The 22,661-nt window shown below is 37.0% G+C and overlaps 1 protein-coding gene across 3 annotated transcripts in view, besides 1 other annotated feature; it reads left to right on the top strand.

Annotated features, from left to right (window-relative positions):
* The window catches only part of AP3B1 (adaptor related protein complex 3 subunit beta 1), a 294,177-nt gene that overhangs the window by 4,633 nt on the left and 266,883 nt on the right, over positions 1-22,661 (top strand). For all 3 annotated transcript variants that reach the window (NM_001271769.2, NM_003664.5, NM_001410752.1), the window contains exon 2: positions 22,471-22,546. In NM_001271769.2, the coding sequence (NP_001258698.1) occupies positions 22,490-22,546 (57 nt within the window). In that variant the 5' untranslated portion in view covers positions 22,471-22,489. The remainder of the gene's footprint in view (positions 1-22,470; positions 22,547-22,661) is intronic.
* Positions 17,815-18,545: an enhancer, noted in NCBI's record as "OCT4-NANOG-H3K27ac hESC enhancer chr5:77567345-77568075 (GRCh37/hg19 assembly coordinates)". NCBI's record gives its function as "activates a minimal SCP1, AML or CMV promoter by ChIP-STARR-seq in naive H9 embryonic stem cells {active_cell/tissue: H9 hESC(naive)}" and the evidence as "EXISTENCE:reporter gene assay evidence [ECO:0000049][PMID:30033119]".

Below are 22,661 nucleotides of genomic sequence, written 5' to 3'. Positions count from 1 at the left end.
ATTTCTAAACTAGGATATTAACTAACGCTATTTGGGAAAGTTGGTGAAGACTTCACTGAGGTAGTGACACTTTAGATCTTAAAGCCTGAGGTTTTTGCCAGGGGGAGGAAAGATGGATTCTTTAGGCAGAGTATGTAGAAACCAGAAGATTTGCAAAAGAAAAAGCATGTTCAAATGAGATGGATATTTAGACATCACAATTATGAATAGTAGGTAGTAAAGTATGGGAATGGATGAAATCACCCAGGGAAGACTTTTCTTGTTAGACGAGAAGGCAGTTTGGACAAAACCCAGGGGACAACAGGATATAAAGTATGAATGGAAGAACTAGAAAAAGAGACTGAGCTCAGAAGGGTGGGAAAACACAGGAAGGTTTAAAAAAGAAGATGCTAACAGGAAAATTAAAAGAAGGAAATGTTCAGCTATGTCAGGAGTTGTAGAGTAAGGGCAAATAGAATGAAGGCTGAAAAGAGGCCCTTGGGTTTAACAACTGAAAGGTGACTTTAGCAGCCAGTAACTTAGCAATGCAGTACCTCCTGCACACGTTGAAAGGTAGCATTTTTACTCTGTTTAAATCGGGGTGGGCTTTTCATTTGTTTAGATTCAAAGAGCTAATTTAGATCCAAGCAAAGTACTGCATGCTTTCCTGTAGTCAGTAATACAACCCAGTGTATTTGGATTGCATCAATAAAGCCTGACTTATTTTTTAACTTAAATCTTATTCATTGTCAACTTTACAATATCAAACATGAAAATTCTATTACATTCATTCTTAACCTTTAATATCAGTGATTCTCAGGAGAGTCCAGTAGGAAGATTACATGTGTCTGTGGTTTGTACGCAATTATAGCAACTCTGACTTTATCTCCACTACTTTTTGTATCTTTCTGAAAGGCATATAGAAATGCAGCTGAGTGAGATTCATTTACTTAGAGGGATGTTATTGAATATACTTTCTTAAAAATACAATTTTATTAATAGTAACGCATTATATTTGACCTACCTCAAAGAGTCATTGTGTCTCACTATGGGTTCTAAACTTGTTTGTGTTTAAGTCCATTTTTTATTAATACTTAATTTTATCTAGTGTCTGTACCATATTTTTGGGTGTTTTTTTTTTTCATTTAACATTTTTTCATGGTCTAGTTGTTTAGAGCTTGCTCTACTTTCTTTTTGCTTATCCTAGTATTTCTCATTTAAACTTTATCTCATTGTGTATTTTCAGTTTATGTAGTTGCTCAGTGAATATTTCTTAAATATTTATATAGATAAATCGTTCACACATTCTGCTCATATTAAAGACTGTGATTTGTGTGAAGGTGCCTAGCAAAGTGTTTGGCTCATAATTTTGCTTAATAAAATATTTTCAGATCCTTTTACTCAATTCAGTGATTTAGATTCCATTAACATTTGCTCTCTCATTAGCCAATGTTGTTAAAAAATGAAGCATGACTGATTCCGTGGACCCTATACAGAAGGAAACCCTCATCTGGTATCTCCATTGTATTGTAGTACAGCATCACCCTGAAGCTAATTTTGTGTAGTTCACTTGGGTCTTTGCTGTGGTTAGGATTAACTGACTCGGAATTGTCATGTAGGTATGGAATGAACTTTACAATCAGGATTTTTAGTCTTTATCCCAGTCTTCAAAGGCATCTTTACCTCCCAGTCTTGGATTATTCCATATGTATGGTTCATTCCTCTGTGTTTTCACCATAAAAATGCATAACAATTATAGTGTCTTTATCTTGTTTTTAAGAAACTCAGACTTTATTTGGAGAGATTAGGCTAATGTGAACTAACCGTCAGTAATTCAAGTATACAATTAGTGTTAAATTGTGTAATTCAACTTTTCAGTGTGGCATACCTATTGAAAATTATTTGTTATAAGCCTTTGTTTGTGTAAACAGTGATTTACTGAAGAAAATGGAAATGCTGGAATTTTGAAATGTTAAGGACATTTTAGTTTGAGACGTTGAAGTGTTGGTGCCCTGAGTCATAAGCATGACATGAAGAGGCACGGGCTCCTTCCTCATTGTGAATTCCTTTCTCTTGTGCTCAGGAGTTCAGGGTTGCTGCTATGAAAATATGCTTCAGTCATGATTTTGTCAGCATACTGTTATACATCTGATCATCTTTAGTTATGAAGATTTAAATCTCTTGTGTTCTAATAATTCCAGGTTTGATAACTGATCTGTCTTGTTTATTATGTTTAGCTAATTGAAATTTATGGTCATTAGATCTGGTACTAGAGCTGTTAACATATTTGCTTGCTACATATGTAAACTGGATCCTACTTTTTTTTTTTTTTTTTTACAAGGGGTACATTAAGTTATTAGGAAATTTTAGTATTTTATTGATTTTTCACTAAATTTCAGCATTTGTTCCAAGGTGACTAAAAATAAAAGAAGAAACTGTATACTAGCATCTGCAGTGCATTCCTAGCAGCTGAACTAGTTGTTTTTGTCTTCATAAAAATAAGATCGTAAGTTTTACAAAGGGCCAACTATTCAAATTAAGGATTGTCATTTCAGTGGTGCAGTAGGGTTCCATTTATGATTTAATTCTTGAAATATATTTCAAATTAAATAAGATTTTACTACATTGAATAGAAATTTGATGAAATACTGCCTGTAAACAGAGTCTTACTTTCCAACAGATTATAAAACCTTTTATCTTATTTTGCTTTGCTTGCATATCTCCTTGAAGGAGAGTTGGTTCTGACTTCTACATTTTGTCTTAATAAATATTCAAGAAAATATTCTTTCTTGACAGTAGGATATGTTATTTTTAAAATCACTGATCTGGTAAAATTTGAGGAGAAAAATCTGAAAATTAAATTTCAAGCCTTACCATTAAATCATAAGATGTGAGATTTTATGTTATTTAAAAAAAATTTAGTATTTGGAGCAACATTACCAGAGCTGAATGATTAAAGCACATGAAAAAGGCAGACAGATGGTTGGTTGAAATGTTCTTTTTTGCTGCATGAAAAGTTATAAATGCTCATAGAATGACAAATGTATTACAGTGAAATAATTTGACAGTATTTCACTTGTGTATATAAATGAACTACTGACAAAAACAAATTGCCTGCAGTCCAAATTCAAAATTTAAAATGAAGAGCTTAAAGTAGAATAATCAAGAAGGAAATGATTTTCCTCTATTTCATATTATTATGAATAACGTTGGTTCGTGTATTTAGAGAAGGCTTATTTAGCCTATCAGCTGGAAAGACTTAATAGATCTACAAAAGTGAACAGTTTATAGCCAATATCTGTTTATTGATGGACTGATTATTTATATTGCTGATAGGAACCAGCCTAATTAGAAGTCCACTGTCTTTAATTCAGCTGAGTGAGTTGGCATGGTAGCTGGACAAATGAGAGAAGAATGAATAAGGCCCTGTCTCAGTTTGTTTTATGCTGCTATAACAAAAAACCTGAGACTGGGTAATTTCTAAAGAATATAATTTTATTTCTCACATTTTTGGAGGCCAGGAAGTCCAAGATTGAGTCACAGGCAGGTTTAGTTTCCTGGTGAGGGCTGCTCTTTGCTTCTAAGATGGTCTGTTGTTGCCGCATCCTCTGGAGGGGAGTAATGCTGTGTCCTTACTGGGCAGAAGGTGGAAGGGCAAGAGAATGGAAGACTGTGAAGCCTCTTTTGCAAGGGCCTTAATCTCATTCATGAAGGGAGGAGCCCTCATGACTAAATCTTAAAGGCCCCACCTCTTAATGCTATCATATTGGCCATTAAGTTTGAACATCTGAATTTTGGAGAGGACACATTGAAACCATAGTAGGGTGGTTCCAAAATCATAGGTTGGCAGAGCTAGGCATCACCCAACTTTATTCTTGGAATGGGTTTTCTGCAAGTTTTTAAAGCCTAGGTTGAGAATGTGGTCAAGAAGGATGTGGGGGAAATTAATTAGTAAAATATGAGGGCAGAGAGATAAGGGGCAGAGTGGAAGGCGGAGACCTGATTGTGTAGGGCCTTGTAAAATCATTGTTAAGGTCTTTGATTTTACTCTGAGTGAGAAGGGATGCCATTTGGAGAGTTTTGAGCAGAGGGGTGAAATGATTGTTTACCCTTTAAAGGGACATTTTGCCTCTTGAACTAGGAGTGGACTGCAGATTTGAGGCAAGGACCAGCAAGGAGACTATTACAGTAATTCAGGCAAGAGAAGGTGATCCGATTGGTGGTAGTGGAGAGAAGTGGGTGAGTTATGGATATATTTGAAAGGTAGAGCCAATGAGATTTGCTGATAGTTTGGATGTGATATGTGTGTGGGAGAAAAGATATCAAGGGTGGATACAAAGTTTTTTGCCTACACAGCTCGAAGTTTGGAATAGCTGTCAACTAAAATGAAGAATATTGTGCAAAGAGGAATTTTTTTTTAAAGGGGGAAAGGGACCAAGAGCTTGTGCATGTTAAGTTTGAGATGCGATTAGGCATCCATGTGGAGATACTAAATAGGCAGTTGGATATCAGAGTGTGGAGCTTAGAGGAGGAGTCAGGCTAGAAGTATAAATTTGGGAGTCATCAGGTATCATGGGATTGGATGAGACACTGAGGAAGTGAGTGTAGAAAAAGGTCAGAGTCAGTCAGTCCTGGGACATTCCTGGAGTAATTGTGTCAAATAATACAAATAGGTCAAGTAAGATGATTACTGAGAAGGGAGTTTTGGATTTGTCACTGGGTGGACTTTGGTGACCGTGACAAGCAGTTTAGGTGCACTGGTGGGGCTGAAAGCCTCATGAGTGGGCTCAAGAGAGAAGGAAGAAGAAGAATTGTGGTTAGTATTTTTTTTTTTTTTTGAGACAGAGTCTTGCTCTGTCGCCCAGGCTGGAGTGCAGTGGCGTGATCTCGACTCACTGCAAGCTCCGCCTCCCGGGTTCACGCCATTCTCCTGCCTCAGCCTCCCGAGTAGCTGGGACTACAGGCGCCCTCCACCACGCCCAGCTAATTTTTTTTGTATTTTTAGTAGAGACGGGGTTTCACCGTGTTAGCCGGGATGGTCTCCATCTCCTGACCTCATGATCTGCCCACCTCGGCCTCCCAAAATGCTGGGATTTACAGGCGTGGGCCACCGCGCCTGGCCATTAGTATATTTTTAAGTATAGAAGAGCAGAGAAATGGAGCAGCACTTGGAGAGGAATGTTATGTCAAGGAATTTTTCCTTAAGGTAGGAGAAACTGTATTATCTTGTTTGCTGATGGAACCAACTGATGTAGAGGAGAGAAAATAGATGATGCATTAGAGAGAAGGAAAATTGCTGGAGAATTGCTGATATCCCCTTTTTCTTCTAGAAAACTTACAGATACAGGTTAGCTGAAAAATAACAACCCTAATTTCAATATCCAGAAGAAATCGGTTAATGTAGTATATATCTTTTAGCCTTTTTTCTTTTGCATATATATTTATATGTATGTATGTGTATATCATGTGTTTTTAGAGCAAAGCTATATGCTTTTATAATATGACATTATAATTTGCTTGTTTCATTTACCAATGCATGGAGCCTGCTCATTTCTTAAAATGATAGTCCTTTTAGGACAAATTGTAGTTAAATTACTATCTATTAGCTATTAGGAAAGTAAACAACTAAGGTATACAAATGAGGTTATGTAGCTAGCTCCACTAGAGGATTTAAATAGTATCTTATGTAGAATGGACCTTATTAATTACTACCTACATAAATAGAATAACCTTGCAAAAGAATGAATACTAATGATGTTAGATAGTAGCACTGATGAGGACTTTCCACACATACCTGTGTATACCAGGCAGACAGAATAGCATATACCTAGGTTTAGAGCTGTAATGTTCAATATAGTAGCAACTAGCCAAATGTAGCTATTTAAATTTAATTTAATTAAATTTAATTTCTCCACCACTCTAGTCACATTTCATGTATGTGATGTAGCTAGCAGTTACTATAATGGATAATGCAGATAAGTGATTATTTCTATTATCACAGAACATTCTATTGGATACTGCTGGTTTAGAGGCAAGGATTTATGGCTTACATAGGGAACAGGAAACAATTCAGTGTGGCGAGAGCACATAGTTAGGAGGAAATGAGGGACTGACTGGTGAAAGATGGTTAGGAGGTAATCAGTCTGTATTATGAAGAGTTTTGCATACCATGCTCAGAAATTAGGATTTTATCATGAAGGTTTGCACAGTAAGGAGTGCTAAAGTATAGGAGCAACATAAAATGATTTATTTTTTAAAAAGATCACCTTGGCTACACCAGTGTTTTTGGATTGGACAAGTATGTGAATGATGCTAGAATTCTGTGATACTGGAAACACAGATGGATAGAGTAAGTTTGGAGTGAGGAGGGTAAGTGTTGAGGTCCGTTTTGGATCTGCTGAATTTGAATTGATAGTTAGGCATTCGTTGAGCAGTTAGATAGATAGATAAGGTATTCAGGACAGCTACCTGGGCTGGTGATGTAGATTTGGGAGTCATTAATTGATGACATTGTAGTTGGAGCCATTGAGTGGAAAGTGTGTGTGCGGCATGTGAAGAGAAGGCCAGTGAGGAATCTTAGTAAAGTCTACATTGAAGAGAGTAGGAGAATTGGAACTTACTTAGAAAACTAAGAAGGGAGAATTCAGTTTGGGGAAACCATGAAAGTTGATTGTACAAGTTTTTGAATTGTGTTTAAGGTATAAGGAAAGGGCGAAACTTAATTCCTACTTCCGTAGGAGGAAGACAGCCGATAAATGGTTTATTGTGTGGTTTGTTGAGACAGTGTGGTATGACGGTTAGACACACCCACTCTGGAACTATTCCTGGGTGTCAAAATGTGGCACAGAGTTAATAAATGGTACTTGGACAGATTATTTTACAACTCTCTGCCCTTGGTTTTCTTATGTGTAAAATGGGGATGAGGATGATAATGTACCTACACTCATTGACTAGTTGTGAGGATTAAAAGATTTAACATATGTAAATAGTGCCTGGTACATAATAAACATAGTAATTATGATTACCATTATAACACCATTAAAGTCATTTAAAGTTTTGTTTTCATTTTTCTTTTTTGGTTTTAAGAGACACAATCTCTTTCTGTGCCCCAGGCTGGGGTGCAGTGGCCCTATCATGGCTTACTCCTGGGCTCTAGTGATCCTTCTGCCTCAGCCTCCTGAGTAGCTGGGACTGCAGACATGTATCACCATGCCTAGCTATTTTTTTTTTTTTTTTTTGGTAGAGACAAGTCTTACTATGTTGTCCACGCTGGTCTTGAACTCCTGGGCTCAAGCCGTCCTCCTGCCTTGGCCTCCCAAAGTGCTAGGAGTACAGGCATGAGCCACCATGCCTGGCCTGTTTTATTTTTAATATGATGTACTTTTTAAGCTATTATAATTTTAGAATTATTGTTAATTTTAACATTAACCATTGCTTTATGTTTTTAATTTTCAAATTTTCATCAAACTTCAGTTTTTCTGAATTATATTTCACAAGTGTTTGAAACAACTAAATATATTTACTTTTAATGGCAAAAACTGCAGTTACTTTTGCACCAGCTTAATACAAAGTACCTTTAATGTGCACCACATAAAAATAAATGAAATTAATAAGCCCTGATTCTTCTGTGTGATTATCAAGGATTTGGGAACAATGATTATAGTACAAAGGAGTAAAAAGTGTATTTGTTTTAAACTTTTTTTTTTTTTCAATTTTCAGTCTTCTTTTGTATCCTATGGCTTTGAAGCTGTTCTTGAAGAAGCAGCCTATTTCTCATTTTTCCTAAAAGAAGGCAGGCTTATGTATGTTTTGCTTTAACAGAAATAAAAAGAGGAGGGGCTAAATGGTCAGCAGTGCCAGCTGCTGGTGTGGAATCAAGCAAAATGGTAAGGCAGTTTGGTGATAAGGCAGTTGTTGGTGACCTTGGTGGTGGTGACAGCAGTGTCAAGGGATGTTGAGTGTGGAAATCGATGGCAGTCCATTGGTGGATGGGTGAGAAGTGAGTAAAAGAAGATCACTTCTCCGAAGAACTTTGGCTTTCAGGTAGAGGACGAAGGATGGTTATTGCAGGGAGACATGGAGTCTAACGAGCTTTTTTTTCTTTTAGAGTAGTTTCTCTTTTATTTTTAATTATGGTAAAATACACCTGAATAACTTTATCATCCTAACCATTTTTTCCCCTATTTGACAAGGTATCAAGCAACCTAACCATTGTTAAGTGTGCAGTTCAGTGGCATTAAATATAGTCATATTGTTAGGCAATCGTTACCACCATCCCTCTCCAGAACTCTTTTTATATGCACCACTGAAACTCTGCACCCATTAAATAAATCCCTATTTTCTCCTCTCTCCTATTCCTACATACACACAGAGTCCCATCTATTTTGATACTTTGTATATTACTTAAATAATTTTGGATGATAGTGACTGCAAATGATTTTTTTCTTAGCATTCTTAGTATTGTAAAACGGTTTTTCATTCATGTAGCAAAACTATAAAAAAAGTTTCAATATAGTTTGGTCAATAGGATATGTTTATGTTTCAAAAATGTAAAACTACACATGGAAATAAGTTAGTCAGTCTTTTAAAAATAAATTATAATGGGATAATTAACTATAGATGAGAACTGTTTTTTTTTTTTTTTTTTTTTTTGAGGCAGAGTTTTGGTCTTGTTGCCCAGGCTGGAGTGCAGTGGCACGATCTTGGCTCACTGCAATCTCTGCTTCCTAGGTTCAAGCGATTCTCCTGCCTCAGCTTCTTGAGTGGCTGGGATTACAGGTATGCACCACCATGCCCGGCTAATTTTGTGCTTTTAGTAGAGATAGGGTTTTGCCATGTTGGTCAGGATGGTCTCGAGCTGCTGACCTCAGGTGATCCACCTGCCTTGGCCTCCCAAAGTGCTGGAATTACAGGCGCGAGCCACTGCGCCCGGCCGAGAATTGTTTTTAAGTGATAGCATACTTTAAAATAATCACATAAAACTTAAGTGATTTGCACTTTTAGATTCTATTCCTGTCAAGTACAAATTTGTAGGACTTTTTTTCTGTTTCTGGTTCTACATAGCCTTCATCAGGAAACTTGGTGGGACCATGTGACTTTAAAAAATTGTGGTAAAAAACACATAACATTAAATTTACTATCTTAACCATTTTTGAGTGTACAATTCAGTAGTGTTAACTATATTCACATTGTTGTGCTACAGATGTCTAGAACTGTTTCATCTGCAATACTGCCCTGTGACTTTTTAAAAACTAATTTTTTTATTGAGATTTCCAAGTGCATCAGGGACAAAGGCAGACATTGCATATTGGTTTCCTGAATTCCCTTTACAGAATGCTGATCCAAACTCATCAGATGGAAAACTTGCCTTCTGTGGCCTTGGAAAGTTGTTGTTGTTGTTGTTTTTTTAAAGAATTTAAAAATTAATCTAGCTTTGAGTTGGCATATCTTATTAACACAGTTGTAGAAAACTTATATTTCCTCTACTATAGTTTATGAATTTCTTGGAGAAAAATCTAATACTAATACTCAAACTTGATGCACAAACGGATTCTTTGGCATGTTTGTGTGTATGCCCATCTGTTACTGTGGCACCATGCCTATTATTACTGTGGCATGCCAATAGCAGTGAGCCATGTGAGCCAACAAAGATGAATTGTTTGGACGGAATACACTATTCTGTAATACTAATTAATTTTGAGCTGATGAATCTACATGAGATAATGTTAACCAAATACAGTCAAAGTAATGTCAGTGAAAATAAAATTTATTTTGACTTATACAGAAGTGTATCACAGATGTTTTAGACTACCATTGAGAATAATTAGAATCAGTGTTTACTATGATTCTAGTGATCAGTTTTCTTTTCATGAAAATTTTGAGTTTAAAAGAAAAGTTCTTCTTGTGATTATAGATTAAGTAGGGAGGGGGATGACACTCCAGGTTATGGATTTTATACCTTTTATAAGGTATTACTTTATAGTTCTTGAAATATATTCTTTTTTTTTTTTTTTTGAGACAGAGTCTCACCCTGTCGCCCAGGCTGGAGTGCAGTGGCACGATCTCGGCTCACTGCAGCCTCAACCTCCTGGTCTGATCCTCCCACTTCAGCCTCCTGAGTAGCTGGGCCCACAGGTGTACACCACCATGCCTGGCTAATATATATATATATATATATATTTAAGTCATATATATATATTTAAGTCATATATATATATATTTAAGTCCTATATATATTTAAGTCCTATATATATATACACACCTATATATACATATATAGGACTTAATATATAATATATATAAATTTTATATAATATGTTAAAAAATATATATTTTTCTTTTGTAGAGATTAGGTCTCCCTATGTTGCCCAGGCTGTTCTTGAACTCCTGGGCTGAAGCGATCTTCCTGCCTCCGCATCCCAAAGTCTTGGGATTGCAGGCATGAGTCACAGTGCCCGGCCATTGAAATATATTCTTAATATAGTCAGCTTTATAGCAGAAATTGACAGCGTAGTATGGTGAATAGGAAGAATGTTGAATTTCAAAACAAGATTGAAATTTAATTCCTTGCTTTGCCATTCCCTGGTTTTATGATGATATACATAAAAGGCATGTGATTTTAGAATTTCTCACATGCTATGTAATCTTATGTTACCTTTATATATTCTGAGACTTGGTTTACTCATCTATTAAATGGGAACAATAATAGCTACACACGCTTCATAGAGACTTTGTGATACTAAAATAAGACAGTGTTATAAGCTTCAGAAAATAAAACCACTACCACGTGGCTAAATAAGTTAATAATATGTTATAAACACGACATGTTAGCGGTGAGTTAGTCAATGATGTGGAAAGGATATAACTTCCAATCCCATATCTCATAACTCCCATTCATGTGTAACTACAAAGAACAAGTTCTTATGTATCCTTTCAGAAATTTTTTAAAAAAATTAAACGATCATATATATACTATTCTCTATGTATCTTGCTTTCCACCTGGTATATTTTAAAAGATCTTTCCATATGTTGATATGTCTTTCCATATCAACATATGATACCATTTTAATCTTTTAAACCAGCAATCGCCAAACCAGCAGTACCCAGGGACCTGTTTCATGGAAGACAGTTTTTCCATGGAAGGGGGTGGGGGTTGGCTTGGGGATGAGACTATTCCACCTCAGATCAGGCATTAGATTCTCATAAGGAGCGTGCAGCCTAGATCCCTCGCATGCACAGTTTACAAGAGGGTTTGCACTCCTCTGATAATCTAATGCCGCTACTGATCTGACAGGAGGCGGAGCTCAGGCAGTAATACTCCTCATCTGCCACTTGCCTGCTGTGTGGCATCCTGGTTTCTAACAAGCCACAGATGGGTAATGTTCTGTGGCCTGGGGGTTGAGGACCCCTGTTTTAAACCACTGTGTAATAGTTCCTCATAATTAATTAGTCCCCCCCCCCCTTTTTTTTTTTTTTTTTTTTTTTTTTTGAGACGGAGTCTCGCTCTGTCGCCCAGGCTGGAGTGCAGTGGCGGGATCTCGGCTCACTGCAAGCTCCGCCTCCCGGGTTCACGCCATTCTCCTGCCTCAGCCTCCCAAGTAGCTGGGACTACAGGCGCCCGCCACTACGCCCGGCTAATTTTTTGTATTTTTAGTAGAGACGGGGTTTCACCGTTTTAGCCGGGATGGTCTCGATCTCCTGACCTCGTGATCCGCCCGCCTCGGCCTCCCAAAGAATTAGTCCCCTTTTGGAGGGGCATTTGATTGATTTCACTTTTCATCACATAAAAACAATATTTCAACATAAGTTTTTGCATACCTGTGTGAATTTATCTATTTGTAGGAAAAAAGTTTTACAGGAAATCTCATAGAGCCACTGACATAGTTTAGTTTATATATGGTGATGCATAAAATTTGTAACAGGCAAAAAGTTCCTTTTCACTGTTTAAAAACACTGTAAACCAAAAATGCCACTTTGTATAGAAGATTAAGATTGGGGGAGTCTCAGAAGCAATAAAAGGAAACATTAACAAATATACTACTGAATAGTCACATTCTAGAAGACATTCCTAATCTCCTGAGCAAAGGTAAAACATACTTCCTGCTGCCTACCAAGAGGCCAAGTAGCTGAGGGCATTGATAAAGATCATGGCAAATATGAAGATGTCCTGTGATGTCTGTATGACATCATGGCTTTTAATACGCATATGAATGATATGAAGACATGGAAGATATATGCTTGGTTTTTAACTTTTATTGGGATCATGGATCCTTTTGAGACTTTACAGTGAAAGGGTTCTTCTGTGTCTTTCTAAGAAACAAGTTTAGTATATAGCCTGCTTTCATTTGTTTTTTCAACTAATGTTTATTGTGTATCTGTTATGGACCGGTAAGGAATGTAACCTGCTTCAGCCTACCTTTAGAGGCCCTTCATAGATCTTCTTTTGGATTCTTTATAGCCAAGCTTGTTCTTGCTCTGTTATCTTGTATGATTTCTTTGGTTGTCTCCTTGTACTTCGAGACCTCAGATCACTTATCCGTGGAGGTCTTTTGTGATCACCCAGTCTTACTTTATTGCATTCCTTATTTTAATTGTTTGTGTACTACTTATCTGATCTTTCTTTATGTTTTTGTTCCTCCCTGCTTTCTTCCTTCTCTGCCTTGCTCTCTCCCTCTTTACTTCCCTCCCTTCTCCTTTTTTTCCTGTCATTCCCCTTAAACTCCCTCCCACCAATTCCTTGTTTGTTAAAATTTAGGTCCTAGAATATTCAGGGACTTCAATACTTAGAGCAGCTTCTGGCATATAATGGATGTTGAATAAATAAATGTGCTAGGCCCAGTGATAAGTGCTTTATGATTTTATTAAGTCTTCATGACAACCTATTTGAAATAGACATCAGCTTTTAGTTCTGTTGATTTTTCTCTATTGTAGTTTTGTTTCATAGAGGCTTTGTGATACTAAAATAAGATACAAGCTTCAGAAAATAATACCAGGTAGCTAAATAAGTTAATAATATACTATAAATGCAAAACATGTTAGTCTGTTTTATTAAATTCTTCTTGTATCTTTATTATTTTATTACTTGTACTTTGAGTTCAATTTGCTGTTTTTTTTTCCTAGCATTCTGAGATGGAAACTTAGATCATTGATTTTTAATCTTTCTGATTTTGTATTGTAATTAGAAATATAAATTTGCTTCTTCTTCTTTTTTTTTTTTTAGGGACAGGGTCTTGCTCTGTCACTCATGTTGAAGTGAAATGGTGCGATCTTGGCTCACTGCCGCCTCAGCTTCCCAGACTCAAGTGGTCCTCCTACCTCAGCCTCCTGAGTAGCTGGGACTAAAGGTGCATGCCACCATGCCTGACTAATTTTTTGTTTTTTTTGTGGTGAAAGGGTCTTGCCGTGTTGCCCAGGCTGGTCTTGAACTCCTGGGCTCAAGCAATCCTCCCACCTCAGCCTCTTGAGTAACTAGGACTGTAGGTGTATGCCACCAAGTCCAACTAATTTTTGGATTTTTTGTGGAGATAGTGTCTTTGTTATGTTGTCTAGGCTGGTCTTGAACTGCTGAGCTCAAGTGATCCTCCTGCCTTGGTCTACCAAAATGCTGGGATTACAGGCATGAGTCACCTCCCCCAGCCTAAATTTGCTTCTAAATATTGCTTTAGCTGCATCCCACAAGTTATGAAATGTTGCACTTTGTCAAATCACAAAGTATGTTGCAGGCTGGCATGGTGGCTCACACTTGCAATCCTAGCATTTTTGGAGACTGAGGTGGGAGGATTGCTTGAGTTCAAAAGTTCAAGATCAGCCTGGACAACATAGGGAGACCCTATCTCTACAAAAAATAAAAAAACATTAGCCAGGCAAGGTAGCACATGCCTGTAGCCCCAGCTACTTGGGAGGCTGAGGTGGGAGGATCTCATGAGCTTAGGAGTTTGAGGCTGCAGTGAGCTGTGATCATACTACTGCACTCCAGCCTGGGCAATAGAGCAAGACCCTATCTCAAAAAAAAAAATTACCATTATGTGAGCACTTTTTAGTTTTTATTTTATTTTTTAAGTATTGGTTTCTATTTAGATTCCACATACTCTGATTCTTATACCTTTCAAATTTGTTGAAACCTTATATAGTCTATTTTGGTAAATGTCCTATGTACAATTGAAAAGAATGTTTATTCTGCAGTTGTTGGATATATTGTTCTATGCTTGTAAGTTTAAGTTGTTTAATTATGTTGTTCGAATTTTTTACACCTTTATTGAATTTTTCGTTTCCTGGTTCTGCCAGTTACTGAGAGGTGTGTTAAAATTGCCAATCATGGCCGGGGGCAGTGGCTCATGCCTGTTATCCAGTACTTTGGGAGGCCGAGGTGGGTGGATCACGAGGTCAGGAGATCGAGACCATCTTAGCCAACATGGTGAAAACTGTCCCTACTAAAATACAAAAAATTAGCTGGGTGTGGTGGCGCGTGCCTATAATCCCAGCTACTTGGGAGGCTGAGGCAGGGAAATTGCTTGAACCCGGGAGGCGGAGGTTGCAGTGAGCTGAGATTGCGCCACTGCACTCCAACCTGGTGACAGAGCAAGACTGTCCCCCAAAAAAAAAAATTGCCTATCATGATTATGGATGTGTGTTTTTCTTCCATGAGTCTGTCAGCATTTGCTTTACACATGGAAACTGTAAATTTAGAATCTGTATAAATTGCATATAAATGTAAAATTATTTTCCTTTTGAAATGATACCCTATGTCCAGGCAGCAGATCTTCAGCTTTTATTTGTTTGAAAACCACTTTATTTCACCTTTAGTGAAATAAAGAATATTTTTAATATCCTGGGTATGGAATTCTATGTTGGCATTCTTTTCTCTTTCAGCCCTTTAAATATGTCATTCCGATATCTTTTGGCCTTTATAATGTCTGTTGAAATGTTATTCCTTTTAAGGTAGGGACCAGCAAACCACCCATCTGTTTATGTACATAAAGTTTTATTAGAACACAACCATGCCCATTTGTTTTTGTATTATCTATAGATGCTTTCATTGTGCAATAGCAGAGTTGACTAGTTACATCAGAGATGGTATGGCTGGTAAAACTTAAAATATTTACTTTCTGGCCCTTTACGTTTGTTGACTCCTGTCTCAAGGTAATTTTCTGGATGCCTTTTTTTTTAAAAAAAAGATAGGGTCTCACCCAGGCTGAGTGCAGTGGTGTAATCATAGCTCACTGCAGCCTTGAACTCCTGGGCTCAAACAATCCTCTTGCCTCAGCCTTCTGAGTAGCTAGGATTATAGGTGCACACTATCATGCCCAGCTAATTTTTTAAAAATATTTTTTGTAGAGACTGGGCCTCACTATGTTGTGCCCAGGCTGGTCTTGAACTCCTGGCCTTAAGCAATCCTCTTGCATTGGCCTCCCAAAGTGCTTGATTATAGGCATGATTCACCATGCTCAGCCTCTGGATGCTTTTAAGATTTTTCTCATTGTTTCTTGTTTTCAGCAGTTTGACTATGCTGTACCTGGTGTAGTTTTATGTTTGTCCTTTTTTTCTAAGATTTTTAAATATGTGGGTTTATGTTTTTCATAGGTTCAGAACAATTCTTAACCATTATCTCTTCAAATACTGCTTTTGTTTCATACTCTCTTTTCTCTTTGGAACTCTAATTAGAGGTATGTTAGAAATTTTACCTTTATCTCATATGCCTCTGATGCTCTGTTCTATTTTTTCCATTCTTTTATTTCTCTGTGCTTCAATTTGTATATTTTCTCTTGACCTGCCTTCAAGTTCGATAATCCTTTTTTTCTCCCATTTCCAGTCTGCCATTAAACCTATCTAATGAGTTCTTAATTTCATATACTATACTTTTCAGTTCTGAATGTCCATTTGGTTGTTTTGTATGGATTCTACTAATTGTTGATTTCTGTGTTGTTTCATCTGTTTTGTCCATCTCTTCTACATTTTCCTGACCATGTTAATTGTAATTATTTTAAAATCCCTGTGTGATAACTCTGGTATCTGAGTCACTCATGGATCTGCTCCTGGTTTTTTTTTTTTTTTTTTTCCTTTTTTTCTTTTTTGGGCGGGGGTAATTTCATCCTGTTTTTAGTATGTCTCGTAAGTTTTGATCAGATGCTAGGTATTTAGGATAAAAATGATTGATGAAGCTTTGGGTGATAGCTTCTTCCATACAGGGCTGGGTTTTTGTTTTTGTTTTTTTTTCCAGCCAAGCAAATAGAATGTAAGCAGATCATTCTGATCTTGTCAAAGCTCAGTTTTAGACTTTTTAAGGTCTTGTTTATGGAACTTTTTCTTATACTCCTCGGGCATCTTCCTTAGCACTCTGTGTGGCTCTTCAGTAATCTTAATGGAAAGTCCAGGGCATTCACCAAAGCCTCTCTTCTGAGGACAGACTTGACAGCTGCTGTTTTTTGTTGTGTTTCCTGGAGTCTTGCCTTAGGAATTGCAGCCAACATTTTGCACACAGATTTTTGTGTACCTTGTCTCTGGTTCCCTCCTCTGTAATTTTGTCCTTCAAGTCTCAGTCACTGTGGCAGCCCTGGAATTCAACATTTGTCTCCTCAAGTTATTAAGACTGTGACTTCTCCTTGGGTTCTGTTCTCCCACATGGCAATTTGGGAAATGTACTGAGGGAAAAAGCTGGTGTGAATGAGGAGCTCTTTTTTTCCCTTGAGAGAGATAGGTTCTTACTCTGTCACCCAGGCCACAGTGCAGTGGCATCATCATGGTTCATTGCAGTCTTACCCTCTTGTGCTCAAGATTCTCCCACCGTGTCTCTGAGCAGCTGGGATTACAGGCGCATGTCACCACACCTGGCTACTTTTTGTATTTTTAGTAAAGATGGAGTCTCACCATGTTGCCCAGGCTGGTCTCAAACTCCTGAGGTCAAGCTATCCACTAGCCTCGGCCTCCCAAACTGCTGGGATTATATTAATAGGTGTGAGCCACTGTCCTGGCCTAGGGGCTCACTTTTTGTGCTTCTCTTCTTTCAAGGATCATGGCCCCTTAAGAGTACTTGTGTGTGTGTATATGTATATGCATACATATATGTGTGTATATGTATGTATTTCAGCTTTTATAGTTATTTTCTATGGCAGGTTTAGTTTTTTGTAAGCTACAGTGTCATGGACAGATATGGAAGTCCCTACAGTATATTCTGAATGTAGCAGCCAGAATGATCCTGTTAAATAGATCATGACTCTCCTGTGTTCAAAACCTGCAGTTCTTTATTTATTCAGAGTTAACACCAAAAACTTTTAGAGTTATTTGACCTGCTTATCCTCCCTGTCCCCCTTTGCTCCCCATGATATCTGCATAACTAACTCTCTTATTTGAAAATCTTTGTTCAGATGTCACTTTTAAAATTTACTCAAACTGTGCTATTAAAATTGCCTCCTTCTTTCCTTTCTGTATCCTTTTCCTCTGTTTTTTTCCCCCATATCACCTTACGACTTAAAAATGTCTTATTTATTATGTTTGTTGTTTCTTTTACTTAATAGAATGAAATCCCTATGAGGGCAAGGGTTTTTCCTATCACTTTTGTTCATTGCTGTGTCACAGATGCGAATGGAGAACCAGATGAGAATAGAGCTTCAGAATCTAAAGGAGGAGGGAATTTCAAGATGGAAGAGTAATGGTCATATGTATCAGATGTCAACAGAAAGAGCCAAACTTTGTAAAATAATTGAAGAGGTTTATTCTGAGCCACATATGAGTGACCATGACCTCAAGAGATCCTGAGAACCTGTGCCCAAGGTGGTTGGGTTACAACTTGATTTTATATTTTTAAGGAGCGTAAGACATCAGTTAGTACATGTGAGGTATACATTGGCTCAGTTGGGAAAGGCATGACAGCTTGAAGCAGGGGGCTTACAGGTTACAGGTGGATTTAAAGATTTTCTGATTGGCAATTACTTGAAAGAGTTAAGTTGTTATTGAAAAACCTGGGATCAAGAGAAAGGTGTGGCTGGGTTAGGATAAAGGGCTGTAGAAACCAAGATTCTTATGAAGTCTCTTAGGTGGCTGCCTTTAGAGACAATAGATGGCAAATGTTTCCTATTCAAATCTTTAAAAGTGCTGGACTCTCAGTTAATCTCTTTAGAATTGTTAGAGCCTGGAAGGGGAAACTCTGTAGAGATCCTTTACAGATGCAGATTTTCTTCCACAAAAGGCTGCTTTGCAGGGCCGGTTCAAAAATATGGCAAAGAAGCATATTTTGGGGTAAAATATTTTGATTGCCTTCTTTATATGTCATGTGACGTTATGCTATAGTCAGGTTGGAAAGTAAGCCACGTTACGTAGGGTTAAATTAAAATCCATCTGATGAGAATTTATGGTTTGTAGGGCAGGACTCCTCAGGCCCCTTAGGAATTTGGGCAAGAGAGAGAAAAGTCAGAGTTTAGTCCTCACAAGTACAGAGGAATAATCTGAAACTATTCATGAGATTTTACCTTGGATTTTTAAATTAAGACGTTGTTTGTTACCCTGTGTGAGAGACATTTTAAATTAAAGGTAAATGAGATTACCAAGAGTTGAGGAAGGGTCTGTAGGCTTTTTTCTTTTTAATCTTGTGAACAGTATAGGAGGAATATTCATATTTATTTGGATAATTTATGATTCTGACTTTTAGAAAGTTTGTTTGTTTTTTGTTTTTTGAGATGGAGTTTCACTCTTGTTGCCCAGGCTGGAGTGCAATGGTGCCATCTCGGCTCACTGCAACCTCCACCTCCCAGATTCAAGCAATTATCCTGCCTCAGCCTCCTGAATAGCTGGGATTACAGGCATGTGCCACCATGCCAGGCTAATTTTGTATTTTTAGTAGAGATGGGGTTTCTTCGTGTTGGTCAGGCTGGTCTCAAACTCCCGACCTCAGGTGATCCTCTCGCCTCAGCCTCCCAAAGTGCTGGGATTACAGGCTTGAGCCACTGTGCCCTGCCTAGAAAGTTAATAGATGGGTGAGCAGGTAAAGACACTAGCAATGGAGTTTTTTGTTTCTATTCACTGTTGCATTTATTAAGTGGAGGCTTTGTGCCAAAAGTTTTTCCCCTATATTACCTCATGACTTAAAAATTTCTTACTTATTATGTTTGTTGTTTCTTTTACTTAATAGAATGAAATCCCTATGAGGGCAAGGGTTTTTCTGTCATTTTTGTTCATTGCTGTGTCACAAATGCGAATGGAGAACCAGATGAGAATAGAGCTACAGAATCAAAAGGAGGAGGGAATTTCAAGATGAAAGAGTAGTGGTCATGGGTATCAGATGTCAACAGAAAGAGCCAAAGTTCTGAGCACTCTGCAAGGGAAGCTTAGATCCTAAGTGAACTGAAAATGTTCCTAAGCCTTAATGTTTTGCACAAAAACATTATTATTATGAGGGCCACTCCCTTTGGCTACATAGCACTGGGAAATGGTAAGTTCTGACTCTGTTTCCAGCGTTTTTTCTGCATATCCATTCATATTTGCAGCGCACCACTTGGATAGTAGCATCTTTTATTGGAGTGGTTCTCTATGCCTAAAGAGGTGCCTGTGTTTTGGAATTTTTTGGTAGGGCTCCATAAAGGTCCAGCCTTCCCTTCGTTGAATATTTTTATACATCCTTTTTTGGGCATGTATCTCTGATTGGAAATTGCTATTCCTTATCACTTTTCCAGTCCATGATTTCCTGGATGTAAGTTTTAGGTGTTGCTTTCTATGGTATATAAATTTTGGTGTACCATAATTTTGAGGAAAAAGAAGGTAACTTTGTAGTGTGGGGCTCTCAAATGGTAAAAGTCCTTTCTTTTTTCTTTTTAAAATTTCCAGTCCAATATTGATGGATACTTCTACAAAATACAATAAAAAATAAATTACTAGAAAAATAAAATGGGCCAGGCGTGGTGGCTCATTTCTGTAATCATAGCACTTTGGGAGGCCGAGGTTGGTGGATCACCTGAGGTCAGGAGTTCGAGACCAGCCTGGCCAACATGATGAAACCCCATCTCTACTTAAAATACAAAATTAGCTGGGTGTGGTGATGCACTCCTGTAATCCCAGCTACTCAGGAGGCTGAGGCAGGAGAATCACTTGAATCCAGGAGGCGGAGGTTGCGTGAGCGGAGATCACACTACTGCATTCCAGCCTGGGTGACAGAGTGAGACTCTGTCTCAAAAGAAAGAACAAACAAACAAAAACATAATAAAATTAAAGAAAAATAAAATGAAAAAGGCACACAAAATAAAATACAAGCCCCACTTTTTAAATTAGACTCAATAAACATAAAATTACATTGTCAAATTGTTCCGTCACGGTTCTCAATGTGCTTATTCTGAATTTTGGTACCTATCTCCTCATGGGTTGGTAACAAAAATTTGTGAATTAGTCATGATTCTTGGACCAGACTTTCTCAGATCATACTTTAAGTAGCACTGATATAGTGTACAGTACTACATAGTCTTAATTTTCCCCTTAATTTATGTTGTCTTTAGAAGGAGTAGAAGGTTTTAATGAGTTATGGATTATAGATTGATTAAAAAGAGAGGTAATTTACACTACATAATAGCCCTAACACATCCCTAGTTCTTATATATAACTGGTAAACTTTATTTTTCAGTTATAGTTACTAGTTCATTCTGGGGCTAAAATAAGAATGACTTTCCTGGTAATAGTAAGATTTGCCTTAAATGTTCAGTTATATATTCTTCTCTGTCCTTTGAAACTTAAAACTGGCCTATTTTGAACATGAAAGGAAAAGTTATACCATTTAACACCACAAGATGTCACTTATGTAAAAATAAAGTTGGTATCCTAATACTCAAAGCTAGAAAGCTACAGGTAACTAGGTAAATGAAGACACAGGTAAATTAAAAATGAATATATTTGAAACAACTATTGTTTTCAGCAAAGAGTTGAGGAAAATATTGCTAATTCAGCATTATTTTGACTCAAATATTGATATTTAACAAAATAGTATCTAAGATTTATGCAGTAATACATGTTAACTGATCATATTTGAATCTACGTAATGAAGAAGGTAGACCTAAAAGAACTTAATAAAAGTTAATGTATTTTGAGGGTAAAGTAGGTGTTATGGTATTAACTTTCCTAAATCTTTACTGTTTTGGTGACAGGCAAAGAAGAATTTGGGAAGAAACATGTAATTTATATCAGAATTTTAAATAGATCCTTATGACATACGTGAGAAGCTGCATATTACATCAGGTTGAAACAGTGCCTAGGATTTTTCTTGTCTCTTCCCTGAACCTCAGAATTATTAGTTTCTCTTCCTATATTAATGCAGTATTTGTTGTTGAAGACTAGCTTTTCTGTTAACCATGAAGAGCAAAACCTTTATCTTTAATATTGAGATTCTGTTTTCTTGTTTTTAGTTTCAGAGAGCAGGTGCTTGTTCTGGGCACTCTGGGAATTTGGGCTTTAGATGAGCAAACCAAGTTTCCATTAGTTTACGAGTAAGACTATGCCTGGAATTAGAGGTTGGGCTGTTCTAAAAATTGACACTTCATTCCTCTTCATTGCTCACTTCTCTCTCCAGATAAAACTGGTAGAGGAGAATAATGGGACACTTTGGGGAACAGAAAAGGGGAACAAGCAGGAGAAAATTGTTTTCTTTTTTGGCATGTGTGTATGTGTGACCACATTTCCTTTCTATTTAGTTCCTATCGAATTCTTTTTTTTTCTTACCTAACTTCAGTAAGATTTTTTTAAGGTTTCTTTTAGGGTTTAGGTTTTTCATTATAAAAGTATACATAGTCATTAAGTAAATAGGAAAATACAGCAAAAAGTAGAAGAACAAAATACAGTTACATATATAGTTCCATTAATTTCTCTCCCTTTTCTGTTACCTGTGAAATCTGAAAGAGCCTGAAAAGTTTTATGCAGGGATCCTAAATTCCTTAAGGTGAACATTTATAGTATGTGTAGTAGTTGTATGTTCTCAGAGACAGTTTTTATTTATTACTACCTCTACTGTTTAAATATTTTCAAGCTGTATTTTTAATTAGGAAGAAGTAGGTGTTTTAATTATTTAATTGTATTTTGTCTTCTCTACTGGTCACCATTGCATTTAATTTTATGAGCTGTTTGGAAAGTAAGGCTCATTTTTTTCATAATAAATTTCATTGCATTTATTCCTTTTGAAAAAAATGTGCTTAGCTTTTACTTATTTTTTTCTTGCAATGACAGTTTGTAACATTTAACCCTTGTATTAGTTTGCTAGAGCTGCCATAACAAAATGCCACAGACTGGGTGGCTTAATCAGCAGAAATTAATTTTTTCACAATTAATGCCTGGGAGTACAAGATCAAGGTGTTGGCGGGTTTGGTTTCTGCTGAGGCCTTTCTCTCTGGCCTGCAGATGGCCACCTTCTTGCTGCAGTTATTTAACATTGCCCATGATATTACTTCTAATTCTTATGAAAATGATATATTTTAAGCTATCTAATATAAAAATCAAAGTATGGATTTTTTTTCTTCTCTTTTGTAATAGGAATGAAGATCTAAAGCAAATGTTAGAGAGCAACAAAGATTCTGCTAAACTGGATGCTATGAAGCGGATTGTTGGGGTAGGTAAAATACTCATTTACTTCAATTTTGGAAAAATGGACAAGCAGTGATCATATTATTATATATATATATAAAAATACGTTAAATACCAAGTCTAATATTCTGTTTGCCCTT

This window comes from Homo sapiens, chromosome 5, assembly GCF_000001405.40.
Source record: "Homo sapiens chromosome 5, GRCh38.p14 Primary Assembly".
Classification (NCBI taxonomy): Eukaryota; Metazoa; Chordata; class Mammalia; order Primates; family Hominidae; genus Homo; species Homo sapiens.
Note: the sequence above shows the minus strand (reverse complement) of the source record. Positions and strands in the feature narration are given on the sequence as shown.